Genomic DNA, 26597 nt, shown 5'->3' on the forward strand with positions numbered 1-26597 from the left:
CCATTCTCTTCAGCAAACTAACACGGGAACAGGAAACAGAACACCATATGTTCTCACTCATATGTGGGAGTTGAACAATGAGAACACATGGACACCGGGAACAAAACATCACACACTGGGGCCTGTTAGGGTGTTGAGGTCAAGGGGAGGGAGAAAATTAGGACAAATACCTAATGCATATGGGGCTTAAATCCTAGACGTCAGGTTGATAGAAGCAGCAAACCACCATGGCACATGTAAACCTATGTAACAAACCTGCACGTTCTGCACATGTATTCCAGAACTTAAAGTAAAACAAACTAACAAAAATGCACTAAGGCTGAGGGGGAGTGGGGGTAGGGGCAGGAGTCAGGCGGGGGTGGGTGAGTCCTGGAGTTTTATCCAGTCATTGACACTGATGTGGGAACAGCCCAATCAGGCGCGCAGTTGGAGAGGACAGGAGAGGAGGGCGTGGCTTCTGGCGTTTGGCGGGTCTTTGTCTCTTGCTGGCGCTGGCACAGGAACTTGGGATCCGTCTCCTCTTTCGCCTCCTCCGCTTTGGGAGCCCCGGGCTACTCTTTCACAGCCCCTGTTGCCCTGTGATCTGTAGGTCCTTGGGGACGCACAGTTAAGATGACAGGACATCCTGGAAGCTGGGAAATGGTGAGTATACGGGGTTCGGCATCCCGAGAGGGGACAGCAGGCTGTGAAACCGGCAGGACCGGCCCCCACGGTTAGCTCCGAGTCTCCCGCAGCTTGGCCCTCAGTCCCCTGTGGCTGCAAGATGGCCGCTGGGCCAGCATCGAGGACCCCCACATCCGGCCTGGCCCATCCGGTGCTGTCCCTGGGCAGCGCCCTGCTCTGCGCCCACAGCCATGAGTATTTCCCAGATTGTTCAGGGAGGCCTGGTGGGTCATCAGGGAAAAACTGCCACTGGGTGTTTGCGTGGGAGGAGCTGCGGCCCGTGGGGTCCCCAGTCTCTCTTGTTAAAAATTAACGGGAGTCTATGTTAAAACGTTAACCAGTTTATCTGAACAAACAGTGATTGGTGAAATGGAAAGCACCCAGCCATGATTTCTGGTCCACCAGAGGGGCATAAAGGAAAGGCTTTCATAAGATGCATGAGAAAGCAGCCCAAATTCAAAAATTGGTTCCAGTTATGTAGTCACCTTATTTGAACTATCCAGATGGAAATGTCCTGGTTACATATTCAGAGGTTAATTGCATGTTTGCCATTGGTTAAACGTGCATTTTGTTTCAGGCTAAGATAATGCTTTATAGGAAATGTATTTGAGTTAGGTTTTAGTTTTTGTTTTTTTTTTTTTAACCTATGAACCCAGGACACTAGAGCCACTTTAGTCTAATTTTCTGCTCTTTAATTATTTTAACACTCCAGAGGAGGACTGGTTTTCTCCTGTGTTTTTTTAATATATGGCAAGTGGAACCTCTAATCGACCACCCTGTTTTTCAGCCTAACTCAGGCTTGTGGTAAAATTATCAGTTCCCACTTTCTTTGCTGCATTCTCAAATGCAACACAGGAGAACAGCTTTCCCTTGCAAATTCACAATGCTGTTAACTATTTGTCCTTTATTATACATTTCATTAAAGTTTTCTATTATTGGATTTCTTTCTACTTCTCCCTACAGTTCTGCCCATATTTGCTTTTTATATTTAGAAGCCTCCCTTTTGGGTGCATAAATATATATAGCTATATTCACTTGACAAATTAACCTCTATTATTATTGTATGGTAAACTCATTTCATGCTTGTGAGAGACATTGCTAGAAAGTCTATTTTGTCTAATTTAAGCATAACTACCATTGAACTCCTTTGGCTATTATTTGCATGGAATATCATTTTCTATCCTTTCACTTTTAGCCTATGCTCTTAATTCATAATTGAGTCTCTTGTAAGCAGCATATTACGAGGTTTAAAAGTTTCATTTATCCACTCTGTCTGCTTTAGTCTCTTTTGGCTGTTATAACAGAATATCACAGACTGGTAATTAATAAAGAACAGAATTTTATTTGACTCATGATTCTGGAGGCTGGGAAGGTAAAAGAACATGTTACTGGTATCTGTTGAAGGTCTAGTTGCTGGATAATAACATGGCCAAAGATGTGAGGGAGAGACAGCTTTTTTTTTTTTAATATATAACAGATCCATTCTTGTTAAAATTAGCCCATTCCCATAATAAGAACATTAATCCATTCATGAGGGCAGAGTGCTTATAGCTTAATTAATTTTTAAAGGTTCCACCTCTTAATTCTTTCACATTGGCCATTTTATCCTAAATTTTGGAGATGACATTCAGTCTACAGAAGTATCTGTTTAGTAGATAATTTAATCTTTTTATTTGTAAGGTAGTGATAGGTAAGCAGTTACTATTGTACATTTGTAGTTTTCTGTCCATTTTAAGTTTGCTTCTTTTTTTTCTGGTTCTGTCTTTCCTGTGGTATTGTTCATTTTTGTTGAGACAAAGTTATGCTTTCTTGCTCAGACTGAAGTTCAGTGGCATATCACAGCTCACTGTAGCCTCAATCTCCTGGGCTCAAGCAATCCTCCCCCCTTAGCCACCCAAGTAGCTTGGACTACTTGGACATGTACCACAACACCCAAGGAGCTTATGATTCTTCCACCTTGGCCTCCAAAAGTGTTGGAATTATAAGCAGGAGCCACTGTATCCAATGTGTAATTTTTGTTGTTTGTGTATGCTTTAATTACTTTCTCTTTTTCTTTACTATGTTTTTTTTTCCCCCAGTGGTTATCATGAGACTTATGTAAAACCTCTTGTATTTTAATAGTCTAGTTTAAGATGATAACAATTTAGAGTATTCTGAATTTCAGTATGTATTTACCATTTTTAGTGACATTTATACTTTAGTATTTTTCATATTGTTAGTTAGCATTTCATCATATCAATGTGAAGATTTCTTCCAGACCTTGGCTGGAGAAGGAAAGAAGGTGTGTTTTGCCTGATTCAGGGACTATAGAGAGAACCAAGTTCTGCAGGCCTGTCACCTAAGTCTCAGATGAGTATGAATTCTTTTGTGTTTTTCACAGATTTTTGCAGTGGCAGGACCAAGTTCAAATGAGTCATAGCCAAGTTTACAGTAAGATGTGGTAGTATTCTGTTTTGAACCGAGGACCATGATTGGCAAGCTTGCCACTTGGTCAAGTGCTTACCCTCTAAAGATGTCTTCCTTGGTCTTTGCCTCCAGCTGGGTGTCACAAACTCTGAACTGGATTCTAAGGCTTTCATGAATGCACTTATGTTTCCCGTGGCAGCTGCATTATGTTGTGGGGGATGTGCATGCCGAACCTCCCATTCTGTCGTCTTGCTTATGTTACTCTCCTTTATGTTTCACTTTCTCAAATGAATGTCAAGCTGGTGATTTTTAGATTCAAAAATTCTAAAATAAATTGCTCAAATTTCCACATTATGTAAGCTATTAATAAAATGTCTTGTAGGTGCTACATATTTATTAAAATTTTTGGTTGTAATTTTAAGCTCACTGCAGGCAGAAAGGAATCATTAACATTTATATTCTTTTTTTTAGTCTGTATCTAAATGATGGTATATTTTAATTCCAGATATTTACTTTATACTGCAGTAATGCTCGTCATATTTTGCAAAATTTATGTTGTTCTTTTATTTGGAAATATAAGGCTTTTTTAGCTCTTGAAATCTATATTATAGTCATATAATTTTATTATGTTTTGTGGTAAGAAGTGCAGCAACATATTGAGAACATAATAAAATTATCCTGTATTTTTAATGATTATTTATTAAATTCCTCTCATTAGAGCCTGTTATTAATGATTGTAATGTATTTTCTGTATAATTTTACTGCAATTTATTAAATTCTAATGACTTAAATTGTCTGCTTTTCATGAGTGCACACAGTTGAATGCTGTAGATATCTAAAGAATTATTTTTCGGCCGGTTGTGGTGGCTCATGCCTGTATTCCCAGCACCTTGGGAGGCCAAGGCGGGTGGATCACGAGGTCAGGAGATCGAGACAACCCTGACTAACATGGTGAAACCCCGTCTCTACTAAATATACAAAAAATTAGCCGGGCATAGTGGCAGGCGCCTGTATCCCCAGCTACTCAGGAGGCTGAGGCAGGAGAATGGCGTGAACTCAGTGGACAGAGTTTGCAGTGAGCCGAGATCGCGCCACTGCACTCCAGCCTGGGCAACAGGGCAAGACTCTGTCTCAAAAAAAAAAATAAAAAAAAAAACGGTTATTTTCCATTGTAAATCTATGTTGTATTCAGGATTTTATGCACGAAAATCTCTCTTCTTATTTTCAAGTCCGTGTTATTGTGTTTCTTTTCTTGGGAGTTATGTTTTCTCAGATCAGTTAAATGTATTTTTATTTTAAAGCTTGATATCATCAGTTGAAAGATAATTTTTAGCTCGGTACACTTTATCTCAATGTGATGTTTAATATATGTGTGAATTAGCTGTGTTTGTTGCTTATAGATATATCTGTATGTTTTTCACTTATGTAAGTATGACATCTTTTTCCTTGTTTTTTTGTTTTTTTCTTTTCAGTTTCAGATAGGCTTTTTTTTTTTTTAAGAGAATTTTAAAACAGAGTCGAAAGAAGAGAAATCAGTTATTTGTCCTCTTGCAGGGTGGGGAGACAACTTCCTTCCCCACAGGTTTGAGGCTATGCCTAAGTGGTGAGTCTTGAGGAGATGCAGAAAGGATCCATCCCAGGCACTTGGCTGGACTTAAGTAAGCATAGCCTTTAGGCCACAAGACCTGATGGTTTGGGTACTGGTCTGGACATAAGTCCCCATCTTCCCAGAAATATCATCTTTTGTCTGCAACAACTGGCTGGAGAAATATTTCAGAAAGATGTGTGTCTGGAACACCCAAAGACATACTTTTCCTTTCTCCTTGGCATAGGCCTTGCAGCACTGAAGAAAGACCAGGTTTGCAATGGAGCCTTCAACAGTCTTCATCCCTATGGAACTCAGGGTCTCATAGGGTGACAGGAGAGGAGACAAAGCTAACTTGGGAAGAGTCTCTGTCCTTCAGCTTCTCCCCTACTGAAACACTATATATTGGGCCCACAGTTCATCACAAAACACACATGCTCTCTTTCTTTCTCTCACACCCAATCTTGGGAACCCAAAAACTTGATGGCAGGTAGCTCTGGGTATCCTTGGTCTGGCATTCACCCACTGGGAATCTAAGCTGTCCTAAAGCTCTTTTCAATCACTTCTCACTGTTTCCAGGCCCATGTGGGTAGGTGTTCCAGGCTTCATTCTTTCAGGCTGATCATAAAGGCACAGTGTGGGAAAATCCCCTACTGTGATGGCCATTGCTGGGAAGCAGGAAAGGCTAAGGGCCCACTGCTGCCCAAGGCTAGTATAGATGCCCTCTGCTCCACTCATGTCCTCAAAGACTGATATCAGGTGCAGCAGCTGCTGTCTGGAATGTTATCAAACCAGGACTGCACAGGCACTGCATTCTCTGTGTGGAAGACGTAAGAAGCAGGCGAGTTGTCCAGGATGAGAGTTTTCCTCAGGTCCCTCCCCAGATGGCTGAGGTCATTGACATAGCAGCCCTGGTGGAACAAACGTGACTCATGGGCTAGGCAACCCCAGAACACCTCACACTGGTCCAGCACACCCATCACAATGTGTCTGGAATTGGTGGGTTCTTGTTCTCACTGACTTCAAGAATGAAGCCACAGACCCTCACGGTGAGTGTTACAGTTCTTAAAGGTGGCATGTCTGGAGTTTGTTCCTTCTGACATTCGGATGTGTTGAGAGTTTCTTCCCTCTGGTGGGCTCGTGGTCTCGCTGGCTCAGGAGTGAAGCTGCAGACGTTCGCGGTGAGTGTTACAGCTCTTAAGGTGGCACATCTGGAGTTGTTCATTCCTCCAGGTGGGTTCGTGGTCTCGCTGGCTTCAGGAGTGAAGTTGTGGACCTTCACAGTGAGTGTTACAGCTCATAAAGGCATTGTGGACCCAAAGAGTGAGCAGCAGCAATATTTATTGCAAAGAGCAAAAGAACAAAGCTTCCACAGTGTGGAAGGGGACCCGAGTGGGTTGCCACTGCTGGCTGGGGCAGCCTACTTTTATTCCCTTATCTGGCCCCACCCACATCTTGCTGATTGTTAGAGCCGAGTGGTCTTTTTTCACAGGGCGCTGATTGGTGTGTTTACAATCCCTGAGCTAGACACAAAGGTTCTCCACATCCCCACCAGTGTAGCTAGATACAGAGTGTTGATTGGTGCATTCACAAACCCTGAGCTAGACACAGGGTGCTGATTGGCATGTTTACAAACCTTGAGCTAGATACAGAGTGCCGATTGGTGTATTTACAATCCCTGAGCTAGACACAAAGTTTCTCCACGTCCCTACCAGACTCAGGAGCCCAGCTGGCTTCACCCAGTGGATCCCCCACAGGGTCTGCAGGTGTAGCTGCCTGCCAGTCTGGCACTGTGCACCCGCACTTCTCAGCCCTTGGGTGGTTGATGGGACTGGGTGCCGTGGAGCAGGGGGCGACACTCATCCAGGAGGCTTGGGCACACAGGAGCCCACCGATGGGGGGGAGGCTCAGGCATGGCGGGCTGCAGGACCCAAGCCCTGCCCTGTGGGATGGCAGCTAAGGCCCAGCGACAAATTGAGCACAGCAGCTGCTGGCCGAGGTGTTAAGCCCCTCACTGCCTGGGGCCGGTGGGGCCAGCCGGCGGCTCCGAGTGTGGGGTCCGCCGAGCTCGCGCTGGCCTTCAAGCACTGCACGCCGCCCTGGTTCCCACACGCACCTCTCCCTCCACACCTCGTCGCAAGCTGAGGGAGCCGGCTCCGACCTTGGCCAGCCCAGAAAGGGGCTCCCACAGTGCAGCGACAGGCTGAAGGGCTCCTAAAGTGCCGCCAAAGTTGGAGCCCAGGCAGAGGAGGCCCGGAGAGTGAGCAAGGGTTGTGAGGACTGCCAGCACGCTGTCACCTCTCAACAGGATCTGCATACTTGTTCAGTCTGGAATGAAGAGAGCAATGAAGAAAACACATTTAAACAGTTCCTCCAGTCATCTCAGGAACTCATCCATATAAGGCCTCATGGTCCCCTCAATCTTTACAGTCACTAGGCAGTCAGCATTGCTGATTGGCTTAATGGAGCTATGCACAAGGGTTTCATCCATGTCAGTGACCATACAGATCGTTCCTTGATTTTTCTCTGTCACCTCTGGGAGCAGGCAGGTCCCTGGGATCTGATAAAACTGATACTGGAGACACTTGAGCTGATCCGACTTAGCAATGGTGTTGACTCCCTCCTTATGTGTGGAGAACTCAGTGGGGGAACTTGACTTGCCAACATGCTGGGTGCAAGAACAGCAGAAAGGTACCTTCTAAGATGTCACAAACATGAGGCCTCTTCGGAGAGCACTTTGGAAACCAGGCCTTGCTTGCTAAGGACCAGGGCATCTTCCCTCCATGCCTGGGTGGTGATGGAGCCTGGTTCCATCTAACAATCCTGAGGGCTCGGCTGGCTGGGTGGGAAGACAGCGGGCACGTTGGCTGGACTGGGCTGGGGGGCATGGGCTGGGGCCTGATTCAGTTCCCGAGAGTCTGACTTCCACAGCTGTTCACATACCCCTTCTCCTTTCCATCACAGGCCGGGAAGAGAGGCGGCCTGTAGGGACGGTGGATGGCCTTGGCAGCAGCTCCCCAGGGTGCCCCCAGCCCCAAATCCCCCAGCAGGAGCTTCAGGATCTTCAGTTTGGGTCTAACCTAGGGAATCCACCTCATACTCATGTTTTTTCAAGTTTTATTTTAAGTTCAGTGGTCCATATGTGATAAGCTTTTTTTTCAACTTTTATTTTAAGTTTAGGGGTCCATGTGCAGGATATGCAGGTCTCTTACATAGATAAACGTGTGCCATTGTGCTTTACTGCACAGATCATCTCATCACCCAGGTACTAAGCCCAGCATCCGCAGCTATTCTTCCTGCTGCTCTCCTTCCCCTCCCCCATGCCATGAAACAGGTGTCCAGTGTGTGTTGTTCTTCCTGATGTGTCCATGTGTTCTCATTGATCTGCTTCTGCTAATAAGTTAGAATAATAATAGGTGGTGTTTGGTTTTCTGTTCCTGCATTAGTTTGCTGGGAGTAATGGCTTCAAATTCCAACCATGTCCCTGCAAAGGACATCATCTCATTACATTTTATGGCTTCATAGTGTTCCATGGTGTATGTGTACCACATTTTCTTTATCCAGTATATCATTGATGGGCATGTAGATTGATTACATGACGTTGCTATTGTAAATATTGCTGCAATGAACATATGTATACATGTTTATTTAAAATAGATTTATATTCCTTTGGGTGTATGCCCAGTAATAGTATTGCTGGGTCAAATGGTATTTCTGCTTCTAGGTCTTTGAGGAATCTCCACACTCTCTTCCACAATGCTTGAAATAATTTACAATCCCACCAACAGTGTAAAAGTGTTCCCTTTTCTCCACAACCTCACCAGCATCTGTTTTTATTTCTTTTTTACTTTTTATTAATAGACATTGTAATTGGTGTGAGATGGTATCTCATTGTTGTTTTGATGTGTATTTATCCAGTTATCAGTGATGTTGAGCTTTCCATGTTTGTTGGGCACATGTATGTCTTCTTTTGAGATATGTCTGTTCATGTCCTTTGACCACTTTTTAATGGGGTTGTTTGTTTTTCTCTTGTAAATTTTAAGTCCCTCATAGATTCTGGGTATTAGATATTTGTCAGATGAATAGGTTGCAAAATTTTTCTCCCATTCTCTAGCTTCTCTGCTCTGATGATAGCTTCTTTGGCTCTGTGGAATCTCTTTAGTTTAATTAGACCCCATTAGTCAATTTTTGCTTTTGTTGCTATTTCTTTTGGTCTTTTTGTCATCAAATCTTTCCTCATGACTATATCCTGAATGGTATTTTCTAGATTTTTTCTTCTAAGGTTTTTATAGTTTTGGGTTTTACATTCAAGTCTTTAATCCATCTTGAGTCAATTTTTGTCTATGGTGTTAGGAAGGGTTCCAGTCTTAATTCTCTGCACATGACTAGCCAGTTATCCTAGCACTATTTATTGAATAGGGAGACTTTTCCCTAATTCCTTGTTTTTGTTGACTTTGTCAAAGATCAGTTTGTTGTAGGTTTTTGGCTTTATTTCTATGCTCTCTATTTTGTTTCATTTGTCTATGTGTCTGTTTCTATACCAGTACCATGCTGTTTTTGTTACTGTACTCTTCTAGTACAGTTTGAAGTTAGGCAATGACCCTTTCAGCTTTTTTTTTTTTTTTTCTTAAGGTTGGCTTGGCTATTTGGGCTCTTTTTTGGTTCCATTTTAATTTTAAAAAGTTTTTTTTTTCTAATTATCTGAAGAATGTCAGTAGTTCAATGGGAACAGCATTGAATCTATAAATTACTTAGGGCAATATGCTCATATTCGTGGTACTGATTCTTTCTCTCCGTGAGCATGGAATGTTTCTCCATTTGTTTTGTGTCCACTCTGATTCCTCTGAGTAGTTGTTTGTAGTTCTCCTTGAAGATATCCTTCACTTTCCTTCTTAGCTGTATTCCTTGGTATTTTTTTCTCTTTATAGCAAATGTGAATGAAAGTTCATTCATGATTTGTCTCCCTGCTTGCCTGTTGCTTGTGTATGGGAATGCTAGCTACTTTTGCAGATTGATTTTATATCCTGAGATTTTGCTACTGCTGCTTATCACCTTAAGAAGCTTTGGGGCTGAGACGAAGAGGCTTTCTAGATATAGGGTCAGGTCATCTGTAAACAAAGATAATTTGACTTTCTCTCTTTCTATTTGAATACTGTTTATTTCTTCCTCTGGCCTGATTTTCCTGGACAAGTTTTCCGAATGGGAGTTGTAATGCGAGTGGTGAGAGAGAGCATACTTTTCTTGTGCCGGTTTTCAGGGGGAATGTTTCCAGCTTTTGCATATTCAGTATGATATTGGCTGTGGGTTTGTTGTATATGGCTCTTCTTATTTTGAGGTATGTTTCTTCAGTTCCTAATTTATTGAGAATTTTAAACGTGAAGGAATGTTGAATTTTATTGGGTGCTTTTTCTGCATCTATTGAGGTAATCATGTGGTTTTTTTATTTAGTTTTCTTTATGTGATGAGTCACATTTGTTGATTTGCATATGTTGAATCAACCTTGCATCCTGGAGACAAAGCCAATTCCATTGTGGTGGATGCACTTTTTAATGTGCTGCTGGGTTTGGTTTGCCAGTATTTTATTGAGGATGTTTGCACAGTGTTCATCAAAGACATTGGCATGATGTGTTGTTGTTGTTGTTGTTGTATCTATGTTAGGTTTTGGTATCAGGATGATGCTGGCCTGATAGAATGAGTTAGACAGAACTTCTTTGTCTTCAATTTTTTTTGGATAGTTTTAGGAGAAAATGTACTATCTCCTCTTTACCTCAAGTCAAATTCAGCTTGCTTGGTAGGCTAGTTCTTACTGTCTCAATTTCAGAACACATTATTGATCTATTCAGGGTTCAGTCTTGTAGAGAGTTTATTTTGCAAGGAAATTGTCCATTTCTTCTAGATTTTCTGGTTTATGAGCATAGAGGTGTTTATAGTATTCTCTGATCGTTGTTCTTATTTCCATGGGATCAGTGATGATATCTCCCTTATTATTTCTATTTGTGTTTGGTTCTTTCTTTTCTTATTTATTTGCCTAACTAGTGTTCCATCTAGTTTATAAATTTTTTTTTTTTTCATAAAAACAGCTCCTGGATTGGTTGAGTTTTTTTTTTTTTTTTTTGGAAGAGTTCTCAGTGTCTCTATCTCCTTCAGCTCTACTCTGATCTTGGCTATTTCTTATCTTCTGCTAGCTTTCAGGTTTGTTTTCACTTGGTTTTCTTGTTCTTTTAACCAAGATGTTAGGCTGTTAACTTTAGATCTTTCTAATTTTTTTTTTTCTTGTGGGAGAGTTTCACTCTGTCACCCAGGCTGGAGTACAGTGGCATAATCTCGGCTCACTGCAACCTCCACTTCTCGGTTTTAAGTCACTTCTGCTGTCTCAGCCTCCTGAGTAGCTGGGATTACAGATGTGAATCACCACACCTAGCTAATTTTTGTATTTTTTTGTAGAGATATGGTTTTGCTGTTGGCCAGGCTGGTCCTGAACACCTGGTCTCAAGTGATCTGCCTACCCCAGCCTCCCAAAGTGCTGGAATTACAGGCATGAGCCACCATGACCGGCCCTTTCTAGCTTTTTGATGTGGACATTAGTGCTATAAATTTCCCTCTTTTCTTGGTTTCTAGTGATTATTTTATTCTATCTTGGTGAGTAGTCAGGGAAATAATCTTAAATTTACAATCAACTTATAGTTTAAATCTAAATAATTAAGTGAGAAGAACCCTTTGTTATTTGAAGGGGATGTTTGAAGATTTTGTAACCGTGCCTTTTAGGTAGTCCTAAATTTCTAATTGTAGTTAAAAACATGCCATTTTCATTTCTAACATTTTAAGTATATGGTTTAGAAGTGGTAAGTATAGTTCTATTTTTTTTTGCAATAGGTTTTAGATAATTTTTGTCTTACAAAAGTAAAAGTGAATACTCATTAATTCTGAAACAAGTTAGTTAGCTTGCTTTAGTTAGATAGCAAGAGAAGGGTCCCTGGAAAGTCCCTGGCCCTTGGGTCAGTGTCTCATCCCTGCATAATATAAAAGGAATCCTGGAAAAAATCAAGCTGCAGACACTAACAAGGTAACTAGCACATGGTGTTGTGCTTGGAGACCTGCCCATGGCTGCACAGACAGAAAAACCTCTGGCATATTTGGATAAAAACTTGTACAAACCTCCAGCTCACTGAGATAAGGGAACAAGACCGACCTGGCATAGAAATGCCTTTGTTTGTCCAGGCACAGTGGCTCATGCCCGTAATTCCAGCAATTTGGGAGGCAGAAGTGGGCGGATCACCTGAGGTCGGGAGTTCGAGACCAGCATGACCAACATGGAGAAAAATACAAAATTAGCCGGGCATGGTGCCTCATGCCTGTAATCCCAGCTACTTGGGAGGCTGAGGCAGGAGAATCACTTAAACCCAGGTGGCGGAGTTTGCTGTGGGCCGAGATCGCACCATTGCACTCCAGCCTGGGCAACAAGAGCAAAACTACGTCTCAAAATAAATAAATTAATAAATAATAAGAAAGTACATCTCAAAAACAAAAATGAAAGAAAGAAAGAAAAGAAAAAGAAAAAAAGAAACGCCTTTGTACTTTGTGCAGTCAGTGGGCTCCCAGGAAAATGTTTCTTCTCCTTTTGTGGGCATAAGCACAGTGGGCTCTGGTGCATTCCGGTCGACACTCTCCTTTATTTGGACTGTAAGTCAGACCTCTGTGAATAATTACTTCAGCCCCTGATTGCTCCCGGGACAAGCTCCTGCGCCAAGCTTTCACTTTAGCTTCTGATAAGTCCTGGGCCAATCTAAATAGCATCTATGAATCATCCCTTCAGCTCCTGATTGGTCCCGGGTCAAAGTCCTGGGCCAAGCTGAGCCACACTTTTTTCAAGACAGCCTGTTAACTAGGCACATTTCCTTCTCTTCCTTTCCCAGTCCATAAAAACCTTGGGCCCCAGCCTCACAGAGGTCACCCCATTCAGAAACTATCTCTGCTGGCAAAGAGCTTTCTTCTCTTGCTTATCAAACTTTCACTCTAACCTCACCTTTGTGTTCACGCTCCTTAATCTCCCTAGAAGTAGAACAAAGAACTTTCGATGCTATCTCAGACTATGAGAGACTGTTACATCTTGGTGCACTGCTGAGACTACAACACTTGGTTTCTTTGAGTTTGACTAAATATTTTACATAGGTGTAATTATACAGTTTTCCTTTTTGACTGTCTTGTTTTACTTAACAGAATGTTTTCGAGATTTGTCCTTATTGTAGTACTTTTCAAGATTTCCTTATTTTTAAGGCTGAATGCTATCCAGTGAATATACGTGCCCTGTTTGTTGAATCTACTCATCCTTAAAGGTACATTTGCTTCCAGGTAGTATGTTTGTGAGTAATGCTACAGTGTACATAAATGTGCATATATCTATTCCATGTTCTGCTTTGCCTGTTTGGGATATTTTTCACACACTGATTTAGTACCATGTGTATTCCCTTGCTTTTGTTGTCTGATTCGTTGATGTTACATCCCCCAAATTATTGCCGAGACCAATTGTCATGAAGCTTCACCCTTCTGTATTGTGCTAGGAATTTTACAGCTATAGATTTTACATTATAGTCTTCATATTTTAAAATTGACACATGTAATTGTACAAATTTTGGGGAAACAATTATGTATATATGTTGTATAGCAATAAAAATCAGAGTACTTAGTGTAATTATTGCCTCATACATTTGTTATTTTTGTGGTGAGAACATTCAAAAGCTTCTTCTCTAGCTATTTTTTTATATCTTTATATATTAACTTTTTTTAGAGACAGGATCTTGCTCTAACACACAGATTGGAGTGCAGTGGTGCAATCCTAGCTCACTGTAACCTCAAACAATCTTCTAACCTCAGCTTCCCAATTAGCTGAGACTACAGGAACCTGCCTCCATGCCTGGATAATGTTTTAATTTTTCATAGAGACAGGGTCACACTATGTTGTCCAGGCTCATCTTGAACTTCTGACATCAAGTGATTCTCCTACCTCATTCTCCCAAAATGTATGGATGGCAGGAATGTGCCACCACAACTGGTCTCTTTTAGCTATTTTGTAATTTGAGATAACTTTTCATTAATTATTATTATTCTGCTGTGTAACAAAAAACAAAAACTTATTTCTCCTATCTAATTGTAACACAATACTTTTGAAGCTGCCTTTTCCCATCTCCCTGCTTCAGTCTCTGGGAACCCCTGTTGTACTCTTTGCTTATATCAACCCTTTTTTTCAGGTTCCTCAAATGAGTGAGATAATAAGATCATAAAGTATTTGTGTTTCTCTATGTGGCTTATTTTACTTAACATGGTATGCTCAAGGTTCATCCATGCTCTTTTAACTGACAGAATTTTATCCTTTCTTATAGCTGAATAGTATTTCACTGTGCATATATAGTACATTTTCCTTATCCATTTATCTGTTGCTGTACATTTGAATTGATTCCATATATAAGCTATTATAACTAGTTCTGTAACTAACATGGAAATGCAAATATCTTTTTGACACAGTGATATCCTTTCTTTTGTATATACATGCAGGAGTAAAATTGCTGGATCATGTAATACATCTATTTTTAATTTCTTTCAGAAACCTCCATAGTATTTTCTATAGTGGCCATACTAATTTACAATTCCACCAACAATGTATACATTCACTCATTTTATATCCTCATTAGTACTTGTTTTATTTATTTATTTATTTTTATTATAGCCATTCTAAATGGGAGTGAGGCGGTACCTCATTGTGGTTTGGATTTTCATTTCCTTAGTGATTAGTAATGTAGAACATATTTTTATGTTCCAGTTAGCCATTTTTGTATCACTTTTTGACAAACATCTATTAAGATCTTTTGCATTTTTTTAATTAGATTATAAGTGTATTTTATTTTGAGATTTTAAAGTTTCTTATTTATTCTGAATATTAGCCTTTTGTCATATGTATAGCCTGAAAGCATTTTCTTTTATTGCCTAAGCTGTCTCTTCAATCTTTTAGTTTTTTTAATATGGAAAAGCATTTTAGTTTGACATAATGTTGTTTGCTTATTTTTGATTTTGTTGCCTATGTTTTGACATGTTATTTTAATAATCCTTTCCCCGTCGAATGTTATAAAGCATTTTTTAGTTTTTCTCTAATAGTTTCATAATTGATAGCATTACATTTAAGTCTTTAGTTTGAATTGATTTTCATATATGGCAAGGCACAGGGGTCTAGTATAATTTTTCTGAATTTAAATATTTAAATGGCCCTGCATCATTTATTGAAGAAATTAGCTTTTCCCTAAAGTGTGTTCTTGGCAATTTTGTTGACAATCAGTTGGCTTTAGGTGCATAAACTAACTTCTGGGCTTCTTGGGCACATTAGTCTATGTGTTTGTTTTTATGCCAGTACAGTGCTCTTTTGGTTACTATAGCTTTGTAGCAAGTTTTGAAGTTTGATAAAGTGATGCCTTTAGCTTTGCTTATTTTGCTCAAAGTTATTTGTCTATTCAGAGTTTTTTGTGGATCCACATAAATTTAAAATATTTTTTCTATTTCTGTGAAAAAATGTCATTGATATTTTGATAAAAATATTACCTCCCACAGGGTCCCTCCCAGGACATGTGGGGATTATTACAATTTAAGATGAGATTTGATTGGGGACACAGAGCCAAACCCTGTCAATTACTTAAATCCAGGAGTTCGACACTACCCCGGGCAATATTGTGACAAGCTATTGGTAAAAAATATTTTCACAGATTACTCAGGCATTGTGGAATGTTCCTGTAGTCTCAGGAAGTTGGAGGCTGACGTAAGATTATTCCTTGAGTTCCCCAGGAACTTGAGGCTGCATTGAGCTATAATCATCGTATTGTATTCCTGTCTGGGTGAGAGAGTAAGACCTCTTTTTAGAATTTCAAATTTATTTTAGATTTAGGAGGTACCTACACAGGTTTTTTACATGGGTATTTTGTATAATGCTGAGGTTTGAAGTATGAGTAATTCCATCAATCAGGTAGTGAGCATAGTACTAAGTAGACAGTTTTTCAGTTCTTGGTCCCTCCCTCTCTCCACCCTCTAAGAGTTGTCTATTATTTTTGTTTTTCTGTCCATGTGTACCCAGTGTTAATTTCCATTTATAAGTGAGAATATGCAGTATTTTCATTTTCCATTTCTGCATTAATTTGCTTTGTATAATGGCCTTTAGTTGTGTTAACGTTGCTGCAAAGGAGGTTTTTTTTGTTTGTTTTTGCTAAGTAGTATTGCTGTACATGTGACACTTTTTAAATTCAATTTACCATCAATAGGCTGGACATGGTGGCTGATGCCTGTAATCCCAGTGCTGTGGGAGGCCAAGGCGGGTGGATCATGAGGTCAGGAGATCGAGACCATCCTGGACAACGTAATGAAACCCCGTATGTACTGGAAATACAAAAGTTAGCCAGGCTTGGTGGCATGCGCCTATAGTCCCAGCTACTCGGGTGGCTGAGGAAGGAGAATTGCTTGAACCTGGGAGGTGGAGATTGTAGTGAGCTGAGATCGTGCCACTGCACTCCAGCCTGGGCAACAGAGTGAGACGTCATCTCAAAAAAATAAAAAATTACCATGAATAGGCACGTAGGTTGATTCAGGTCCTTCCTCTTATGAATAGTGTAGTGATGAACCAACAAGTGCATGTGCTATTTTGGTAGAATAGTTTATTCTCTTTTGGGTATATACCCAGCGGTGAAATTGCTGGGTTGAATCACAGTTTAACTCTCAGTTATTTGGAAAATCTCCAAGCTGTTCTCCACAGTGGCTGAACTAATTTACATTCCTATTAACAGTGTATAAGTGGTTTTTTCCCTCTAAAACCCCATCAACATCTATTATCATTTTACTTTTTAACAAAAACCATTCTAACTGGTGTACAATGGTGTCTTATTGTGGTTTTTATTTACATTTCCTTGATGGTTAGTGATGATAAGCTTTTTTCATGTTATTTGGCCACTTGTATGTGTTCTTTTGAAGAGTGTCTGTTATTGCCCACTTTTTCATGGGGTAATTTTTTCCTTGTGAATTCTTTAAGTTTCTTATAGATTCTGAGTATTAGATTTTGTCAGGTTCATAGGTTATGAATATTTTTGCCATTCTGCTAGCTTTGGGGTAAGTTAGTTTTTATTTTTCTAGTTTCTCTAAGTGTGATGTTAAATTGTTAGTTTGAGATCATTCTAACTTCTTGATGCAGGTATTTAGCACTCTCAACTTTCCTCTTAACAGAGCTCTTCCTACAACCCAGACATTTTGTTATATTGTGTCTCTTCTATTTCAAAATCTTTTTAATTTTCTGCCTTAATTTTTTTGTTTATCCAAAATTCATTCAGGAGCAAGTTGTTTAATTTCAATATCATTCTGTGATTTTGTGAGATTTTCTTGGTATTGATTTTTATCTTTGTTCCATTGTGGCCTGTCATATTCTGTGAGCAGATGAGAAGAATTTACTTTCTTTAGATGATGTGTTGCATATACTATAAATGTCTATTAGTTTCAATTGATCAAGTGTCGAATCAAACTCCAGAATTTCTTTGTTAAGTTTCTGCCTAGATAATCTGTCAAACACTTAGTGGGGAGTTGCATTCCCCTACTATTATTGTGTGTCTACTTGAGGCTTATTGTAGTTCTAGCAGTAATTGTTGTATAACTCTATGTTCCCCAAAGTTGGGTGCATCTACATTTACGATAGTTAAGTCTTCTTGTTGAATTGAACCCTTTATCGTTACGCAATACCTTTCTTTGTTTTATTTTACTATTAATGATTTAAAGCTATTTTTTCTTAAAAGAGAAACAATTCCAGGTATGGTAGCTTGTGCCAGCACTTTCAGACTGAAGCAGTCGGATTGCCTGAGACCAGGAGTTTGAGACCAGCCGAGGCAACACAGCAACATACTGTTTGTACAAATTTTTTTAAAGAAACTATACAGGAGGGGTAATGTGCACAACTGTGGTCATATTTACTCAGGAGACATAGGTGGCATGACTGCTTGACTTCCGAAATTTGAGGTTACAGTGAGCTGTGATTCCACCAGTGTACTCTGTCCCAGGAGATAAAGTAAGATCCTCTGCATAAAATGAAAAAGTAAAGAAAAATAAAAAGATTTTAAGTTAAAAAAATAATTCCTAGATCTCCACTTCTTTAGGTTCACTTGAATATATATTTTTCTCCTTTGATTAGGTTATATTTCCTGGTTGCTTTTACTTACTGTAGTTTTGTTAAGGTTTTGATCAATTAAGAAACCACTACCTATTTTATCCTTTATGAAAGAGCTTTATACATGGGAAAATTGACAACATTCAGCCACAGTAGTCATACTGGGAGCTTCTCCAATCTGTTGTCAAAATGTGTCTTCTTTGGACTACTGTATGTATTTTCTTGTTAATAAGGTTTACCTCTGTTTCCTCTTAGGAGCCTTTAGTCTCTTCCCTTCGTCACTGTTGTAGGCACTACAGTCTCTGTTGTTGTAAGAAGCATTTATCTTTATTCTCAGTTGACCCAAGCTGTCATTTAAACTCAGTCTCTATTCTCATCAACACTAAATGTTAAAGGAAGCAATTTCCAGTCTTTAGATAACCCCGGTATAACTCAGTAAGTCAGAAGTTTGCATACGCATTTCACTCTTTTTTCTTTCCCAAAGGAGAATCATGGAATGGACAGATTTTTATCTAACTGCGCTGTTCTGTAGTGCACAAATGTGACCAAATTTTCTTCTAAATGTGGTTATGGTTGGCTTTTTTCTCATGTGGGGTGCTACAAACTCAACTGGCTTTGTTCGCCCAATTGTAGTTAAGTTCATATGTCAATGGAGAGAAACAGGATCTCAGGTTCTGCTTCAACTGTCATTGTCTTCTCAGCTGACCTCATTTTGTACATTAGATTTATAAAATATATTTACTTTAATCTCATCACCGAATTTTTAAAAAAATTATTATTTTTCAGCTCTTTTAGCAATATATCCAATCAAGACCCAGAGAAAACAGTACATAGAAGCTTCTTTTCAAAAAGTAATATTGGGAAGATATGGGAGCTCTGGCCTTGAACTTTTACACTTAGGAGAGTGGGAAATTGAAGGATAAGTGTAAACGGCACAAAGTATGCTATGATGAATATACCAGATACACAGCAATTACCTACAGCAAAAATGTCACTGCTAGAAGAGCTCAAAACCATAAAGTATTTTGGAAAAAGCATAATTAATGTTGATTCTTTTTTCTGAACTATATATTTATATAATTACATACCAATAACAATTTTTGAAACATATCATGTTTTTGAAACAAAATTTAGAAAATCGCAATAGTGGCCTAGGCCAGGAATATTTCTTCTAATGCTATCCCTCCCATAGTCCCCCACTTCCCGACAGGCTCCAGTGTGTGATGTTCCCCTTCCTGTGTCCGTGTGTTCTCTTTGTTTAACTCCCTATTATGAGTGAGAACATGCGATGTTAGCTTTTCTACTCTTGTGTTAGTTTGCTGAGAATGGTGGTTTCCAGCTTCATCCATGTCCCTGCAAAGGACATGAACTCATCCTTTTTATGACTGCATCGTATTCCATGATGTGGACATGCCAAGTTTTCTTTATTCAGTCTATCATTGATGGTCATTTGGTTTGTTTCAAAGTTTTTGCTCTTGTGAACAGTGCCATAATAAACATACGTATGCATGTATCTTTATAATAGAATAATTTATAATCCTTTGGGTATATACCCAGTAATGTGATTGCTGGGTCAAATGGTATTTCTCATTGTGGATCCTTGAGGAATCACCACACTGTCTTCCACACTGGTTGAACTAATTTACACTCTCACCAACAGTGTATAAGTCTTCCTATTTTTCCACATCCTTTGTTGTTTCCTGATTTTTTTAATGATCACCATTCTAACAGGTGTGGGATGGTTTCTCATTGTGTTTTTGATTTGCATGTGTCTAATAACCAGTGATGATGTCCTTTTCTTCATTTGTTTATTGGCTGCATAAATGTCTCCTTTTGAGAAGTGTCTGTTCAAATCCTTTGCCCATTTTCGATGTTGTTGTTTCTTTTTTTCTTGTAAATTTGTTTAAGTTCTTTGTAGATTCTACATATCAGCCCATTGTCAGACGGATAGATTGCAGAAATTTTCTCCCATTCTTTAGGTTGCCTGTTCACTCTGATATAGTTTTTTTTGTTGTGCAGAAGCTCTTTAGTTTAATTATATCTCGTTTGTCAATTTTGGCTTTTGTTGCCATTGTTTTTGGTGTTGTAGTCATGAAGTCTTTGCCCATGCCTATGTCCTGAATGGTACTGCCTTGGTTTTCTTCTGGGGTTTTTATGGTTTTAAGTCTTATGTTTAAGTCTTTAATCCATCTTCAGTTATGTTTTGTATAACGAGTAAGGAAGAAGTCCAGTTTCAGTTTTTTGCATATGGCTAGCTAGTTTTCCAACACCATTTATTAAATAGGGAATCCTTTCCCCATTACTTGTTTTTGTCAGGTTCATCAAAGATCAGATGATTCTAGATGTTGAGTGTTATTTCTGAGGCCTCTGTTCTGTTCCATTTGTCAATATATCTGTTTTGGTACGAGTACCATCCTGTCTTGGTTACTGTGGCCTTTTAGTATAGTTTGAAGACAGCTAGCATGATGCCTCCACCTTTGTTCTTTTTGCTTAGTATTGTCTTGTCTATGCAAGACCTTTTTTGATTCCATATGAAATTTGAAGTAGTTTTTTTTCTAATTCTGTGAAGAAAGTCAATGGGAGCTTGATGGGGATAGCAATGAATTTATAAATTACTTTGGGCAATATGGCCATTTTCATAATATTGATTCTTCCTATCCATGAGCATGGATTGTTTTCGTTTGTTTGTGTCCTCTTTCATTTCCTTGAGCAGTGGTTTGTAGTTCTCCTTGAAGTGGTCCTTTACATCATTTTTAAGTTGGATTCCTAGGTATTTTATTCCCTTTGTAGCAATTGTGAATGAGAGTTAACACATGATTTGGCTCTCTGTTTGCCTATTATTGCGTATAGGAATGCTTGTGATTTTTGAACATTGATTTTGTATCCTGAGACTTTGCTGAAGTTGCTTATCAGTTTAAGGAAATTTTGGGCTGAGATGGTAGGGTTTTCTAGATATACAATCATGTCATCTGCAAACAAAGACAATTTGACTTCTTCTCTTCCTATCTGAATACGCTTTATTTCTTTCTTTCTTTTGCTGATTGCCAGAACTTCCAATACTATAATGAATAGGAGTGGGGAGAAAGGGTGTTCTTGTCTTGTGCAGGTTTTCAAAGGGAATGCTTCCAGTTTTTGCCCATTCAGTATGATATTAGCTGTGCATTTGTCATAAATAACTCTTATTATGTTGAGATAGGTTCCATCAATACATAATTCATTGAGAGTTTTTACCATGAAGAGGTGTGGAATTTTATTGAAGGCCTTTTTTGCATCTATTGAGATAATCATGTGGTTTTTGTCATTAGTTCTGTTTATGTGATGGATTTTATTTATTGATTTGCATATGTTGAACCAGCTTTGTATCCCAGGGATTAAGCTGACTAGATCGTGGTGGATAAGCTTTTTGATGTGCTGCTGGATTCGGTTTGCCAGTATTTTATTGAGGATTTTCGCATCGATATTCATCAGGGATATGGGCCTGAAATTTTCTTTTTCTGGTGTGTCTTTGCCAGGTTTTGGTTTCAGGATGATGCTGGCCACATAAAATGAATTAGGGAGGAGTACCTCTTTTTCTATTGTTTGAAATAATTTCAGAAGGAATGGTACCAGCTCCTCTTTGTACCTTTGGTAGAATTCGGCTGTGAATCCGTCTGGTCCTGGACTTCTTTTTGTTGGTAGGCTACTAATTACTGCCTCAATTTTAGAACTTGTTATTGGCCTATTCAAGGATTCGACTTCCTACTGGTTTGCACTTGGGAGGGTATATGTGTCCAGGAATTTATCCATTTCATCTAGATTTTCTAGTTAATTTGCAAAGAGGTATTTATAATATTCTGTAATGATACTTTTTATTTCTGTGGGATCAACGGTTATATCCCCTTTATCATTTCCTATTGCATGTATTTGATTCTTTTCTTCCTTATTAGTCTGGCTAGAAGTTTATTTATTTTCTTGATCTTTTAAAAAAACCAGCTCCTGGATTCATTGATTTTTTGGACGGGCTTTTTGTGTCTCTATCTCCTTCAGTTCTGCTCTGATCTTAAATCTTGTCTTCTGCTAGTTTTTGAATTTGTTTGCTCTTGCTTCCCTAGTTTTTTTAATTGTGATGTTACGGTGTCGATTTTAGACATTTTTCTGCTTTCTCTTGTGGGGATTTAGTGCTGTAAATTTCCCTTTCAGACTACTTTAGCTGTGTCGTATTTTACTTTTTAAGCCCTCAATCTTCCTTTTTCATCGTGATAGTCTTTACTGTTTTATGTTTATGTAATGTAAAATTGACTACACAATTTTTACAAAGATTTTATGAAAATATTTTATTGAGAATGTACAAACCGTCAGTCAATTAGAGGAGAAGTTACACTGTCATAATAAATAGCCACAAAGCAAAACGCCAAAAGACATCCAAATCAGAATAAAACAAAACATTTTAACAAAAACAAAAAGAACAAACTGGCAACAAATATGTGAAGTTTATATTACAAAGATGCTCACTTATCCACTCTAAAGAGAGCTTTTAGAATTTGATTTAAAATACGGCAAAGACATTATCCCACACTTCACAGAAAAAATAAATTTAAGCAGCTGTTAACACATGAATGTATTATCAAGCTCAGATATAATCAAAATTAAATATTTGACAAGAGATTCTACAGTTTGGGAGAAATAGAAGTGTTTTTTTCTTTTCCCCAGGCCCACAAGTCTAGTTTCTTGTTCTTCTTCACTATAATGGGGTTTGTCATCAGCTCCCCAAAATATGGGAAGCACAGAGCAGGTGGTGGCTGAAGGTGGGGTATCCTGTGAAACCATATTTAAGATCAGAGCCCTTGGTCCATTGTGTTGTAATCAGCTGGCTCAGGAAAGAACACCTGGCTGTCCAGAGCTCTACACCTACTGCACTGGGTGTGAAAGGAGGCCTGAGAACCCATGGGTCCCAAACCCACCCCACTCCAAATTATCATCCAGTATTGAGAACTCTGACACCAAATTCTCACAGAGCATATGTTTATGCAGTTTTACATTTAATTTCTCATTACATTACAATTGGGAAACTGAGGCCCCAGAAGAGGCAGAGACTGGTCCAGATCTCAGGAGGTGGGCAGGCTCCAGAGCATTAGAGAGGGCTCCAGCTTCCTAGGCCTTGGCACCGTCCCACTTATCAGGTTTGTTTTCGAAATTAGAGTCTGTAGCTACACATTCAGGAGCACAGAAAATGAGCAGATTCAGGGTTCTGTTCACATGGGGTCCTCTCCATGTCAGTTTCAAGATAACAGGACTGGGGTTCTGCATCCAGCTCTGAGGGCAACTGGAAGTAAAATGAGCTATGCTCCACCTCAGCCTAATGTAGACAGTGCCTACAGGAAAGCTTGTTTTCTTCCTCATAAATAGGGGTGCCTGAAGTGGGTGACCTTGATGATTTCACATACTCATAAGTGTCTGCCAGCCTGGATTCTTGCTCTGAGACTGCAAAAATGCACCCACTCTGCAGATCCTTCAAATCAGAGGGAGGCATGGCCACTTGAGAGGCATCTTGGGTAGATGAAGATGAGACAGAGTTAAATGTGCCAGAGCACTGGACTCTGAGGCTGAGGTCCACGGAAAATCTCAGCTACTGTTGCGTTCTTAAGGTCCTCATTTGAAAGTGGTAGAAAATAATTTCACTGGATAAGGGGAGGATACCTCATGAGTAAATAGCACAACCAAAAAGGTGGAGGCAAAGAGAGGGCAAAACGGGATTCCTAGTTCACTCATTATACTTGGGGCCTTCAGATCCTGCTACTTTATCCCCTAGGACCTTGAAGAACCAGTGTCTTGAGGACAGAAAAATCAAGGTATCAGATTTGTTCAGTAGTGCTCCTGCTTGGGGCTGTAGGGTTAGTGATGGCCAGGAGGTGGTTACAGCCTACTGTGTTTCTGGTGCCCACTGAGCTTTGCTGGAGCAGCTGGAACAAGTAACAGTCACACACCTCATGTTGTTATCAGTGATGTCCACATTATCAGGTGGTCAAAAGGGGAAGGGATATTAGGGATCCCCCATATAATCACTTAGCCAGTCTTTTTTCCCTTGCGCTCACCATTTGCCAGCGACCCTGGTGGGTCCAACATGTGGTACAGAAAATTATTACTTCATGTCTGCACCCCCCAACCCAGGACCAAACAATCTGAGGACCGCTGGACAAAAGCACTAAAGCAAGTATATGTGAAAGAAAAGAGCAAGGACTATAATATAAAGTAGATTATTGAGAAGAAAACCTGGAAAATTATTGCATGGGAGGACCTCAGGCCTCACTGAGGTGACTTTTAATCCATGATGAGGATGACAGCAGGGAGGCATCTGCACAAGCATGTGTCAGGGAGAAGCCACCCTTAGTGAAAAAACTCATAGGTGTGAGTTTGGCAGAGGTAAAAAGGGACTAGTTTGGCTGCAGACAGCCTGAGAAAGAGATAAGCAGAGGGATGGAGAATCCTAGGGCCTGGGAGATGAGGTTAGATATCTGCTCCTTTCTGACAACATTGCCCTAAAAGTCAGCACTTTTCAACAACATATAATATCTCATAATGTGTGTGGACCAGAATCTGGACACAGCTCAGCTGGCTACCTCTGCCTTCAGGTCTTTTATGAGACTGGGGGCTGTGGTCTTAACTGAAGCTGGACTGGGAAAGCATGAGCCTTTAAGCTGACTCATGTGAAAATTGACAGGGTTTAGTGTGGCTGGAGAGCCTGACTTTCCTTCTCTCTACTCGTCTGAGCACCCTCTCACCCTTTGTTATGTGGGTCTCTACATGGAGCATCTCATAGCATTGGAGCTTGCTTCCTGTGTTTGAGGAATACAATAGACAGAATTAGACAAAAAGGTTTACACAAAAAGAGACAGAAAGATCGAGGGCGCAAACGAGAAAAACCCAGTAGGAGAAAAATTAGAGCTTTAAAAACATCTTGACAGGGTGCGGTGGCTCACACCTGTAATCCCAGCACTTTGGGATGCTGAGACGTGTGGATCGCCTGAGGTCAAGGGTTTGAAACCAACCTGGACAACATGGTGAAACCACCGTCTCTTCTAAAAATACAAAATGAGCTAGATGTGGTGGCGCATGCCTGTAATCCCAGCTACTTGGGAGACTGAGGCAGGAGAATCAATTGAACCTGGGAGGCAAAGGTTCCAATAAGCCGAGATCACACCACTGCACTCCAGCCTGGGATACAAGAGTGAAACTGTGTCTCAAAAAAAAAAAAAAAAAAAAAAAAAAAGAAAGAAAGAAAGAAAGAAAAAAAACTTGAGAGTTACTATAATTTTTCTTCTATATTTGTGTTAAAATTGTAACCCCGGGCGTAATGCTATAAGGAGGTAGAATGTAATTAAACCCTTAGGGTGGGACCCTCATAATACAGATTACTGGCTTTATACAAGAAACCGCAGAGGGCTCTCATCCTCCTGCAAAATGAGGGTAAAACCTGAAGTGTGCAGGCTGAAATTCAGAAGCCAGTCATCACCAGATCTCAACCATGCTGACACCCTGATCTCAAATTTGAACCTCTGGAGGTATGAGAAATTAAGTCCTGTTGTCTATATGCTGCCTATCTATGGTTCTTTGGCATAGCAGCCTGAACTAATACAAAAGTGATATCCTTTTCTGTGTTTCATTGGAGAGAAGCTGAATTTGTACCCCCTATACTGTTAAAAAAAAAGACTTAAAAAATGGATCTTCAGAATGAAAGATAGGAAACGGCTTGTTGAAACACTAAAAATTTAACTGCTATAAGTTTTTTAAACATTGGCTGAAATTGTTGGAACCAATATTGCCAACTGAAGTCCATGAAGCATCACTTTGCAGACTTTGGAGCCCAAATTTCCATTGTGTGCTTCATACTAACTCTCCCTGAATTTGTATGTGACCTGTGAGGAAACAAGAAGAGATGACTGTATATGTCTCATGACTTTCCATATTCCTACTTTCCTTCCAGCAATCCCCTACAGAACCCACCTATTAGGCCTTTTCTAATCACTGCCTTAAAGCCAGTATGACAAAACAAATTTGATTTGAACTCCTATCTCCTTGTTAGCCAACATACAAGATGATATTTTCCTCAAAACCGAAGGGCCATAGTACTGGCATCAGGAAGTATTCCATTTTATTCAATAAAAAACTGAGTCACTCAATACCTAGTACTGGGAGACTTTGTGAAGACTTCCTCTGTCATAGACGTGATAAGGCACATGGATATGATTCTAAATATAAAGAGAAAGCACTAGAAAGTTGAATTCCTGTATTAGATCATTCTCATACTGCAATGATGGAGTACCTGAGACTGGGTAACTTATAAAGTAAAGAAGTTTAATTGACTCACATTTCCACATAATTGTGGGGGCACCTCAGAAACCTTCCAATTACAGTGGCTGACAAGTGAAGTGAGTGAGAGCATGGGATGTACCAGATGCTTATGAAACTATCAGATCTCGTGAGAACTCACTATCACAAGAACAGCATGAGGAGAACCCGTCCCCATAATCCAATCATCTCCCCTCAGGTTTTCCCTTAACACCTAGGGGTTATAATACACAATGAGTTTTGGGTGGGGACGCACAGCTAAACTATATGAATGCCAGAGGACAGTATCTACATTTAATTTCAACTTCATACTGGAGCAGAATGAAAATGAGGCCCAGTGGAGAAGTGATATTTCCAAGATCACCCTGGCAGACACCAGGCCTGTTTGAGTTGTGGCCCATGCTACCTCCCACCTATTCTCCTAATGCTTCCATCTCTAAGTGT

At 39.8% G+C, this 26597-nt stretch overlaps 1 long non-coding RNA gene across 1 annotated transcript in view; it reads left to right on the plus strand.

Moving 5' to 3' along the window:
* The first annotated feature begins 440 nt into the window (after positions 1–440).
* Positions 441–26597, plus strand: part of LOC102724843 (uncharacterized) — a 38372-nt gene continuing 12215 nt past the window's right edge. Inside the window, exon 1 of the long non-coding RNA NR_170986.1 lies at positions 441–642. This is a non-coding gene — a long non-coding RNA (uncharacterized LOC102724843). The remainder of the gene's footprint in view (positions 643–26597) is intronic.

Source organism: Homo sapiens, chromosome 21 (assembly GCF_000001405.40).
Source record: "Homo sapiens chromosome 21, GRCh38.p14 Primary Assembly".
In the NCBI taxonomy this organism is placed as follows: Eukaryota; Metazoa; Chordata; class Mammalia; order Primates; family Hominidae; genus Homo; species Homo sapiens.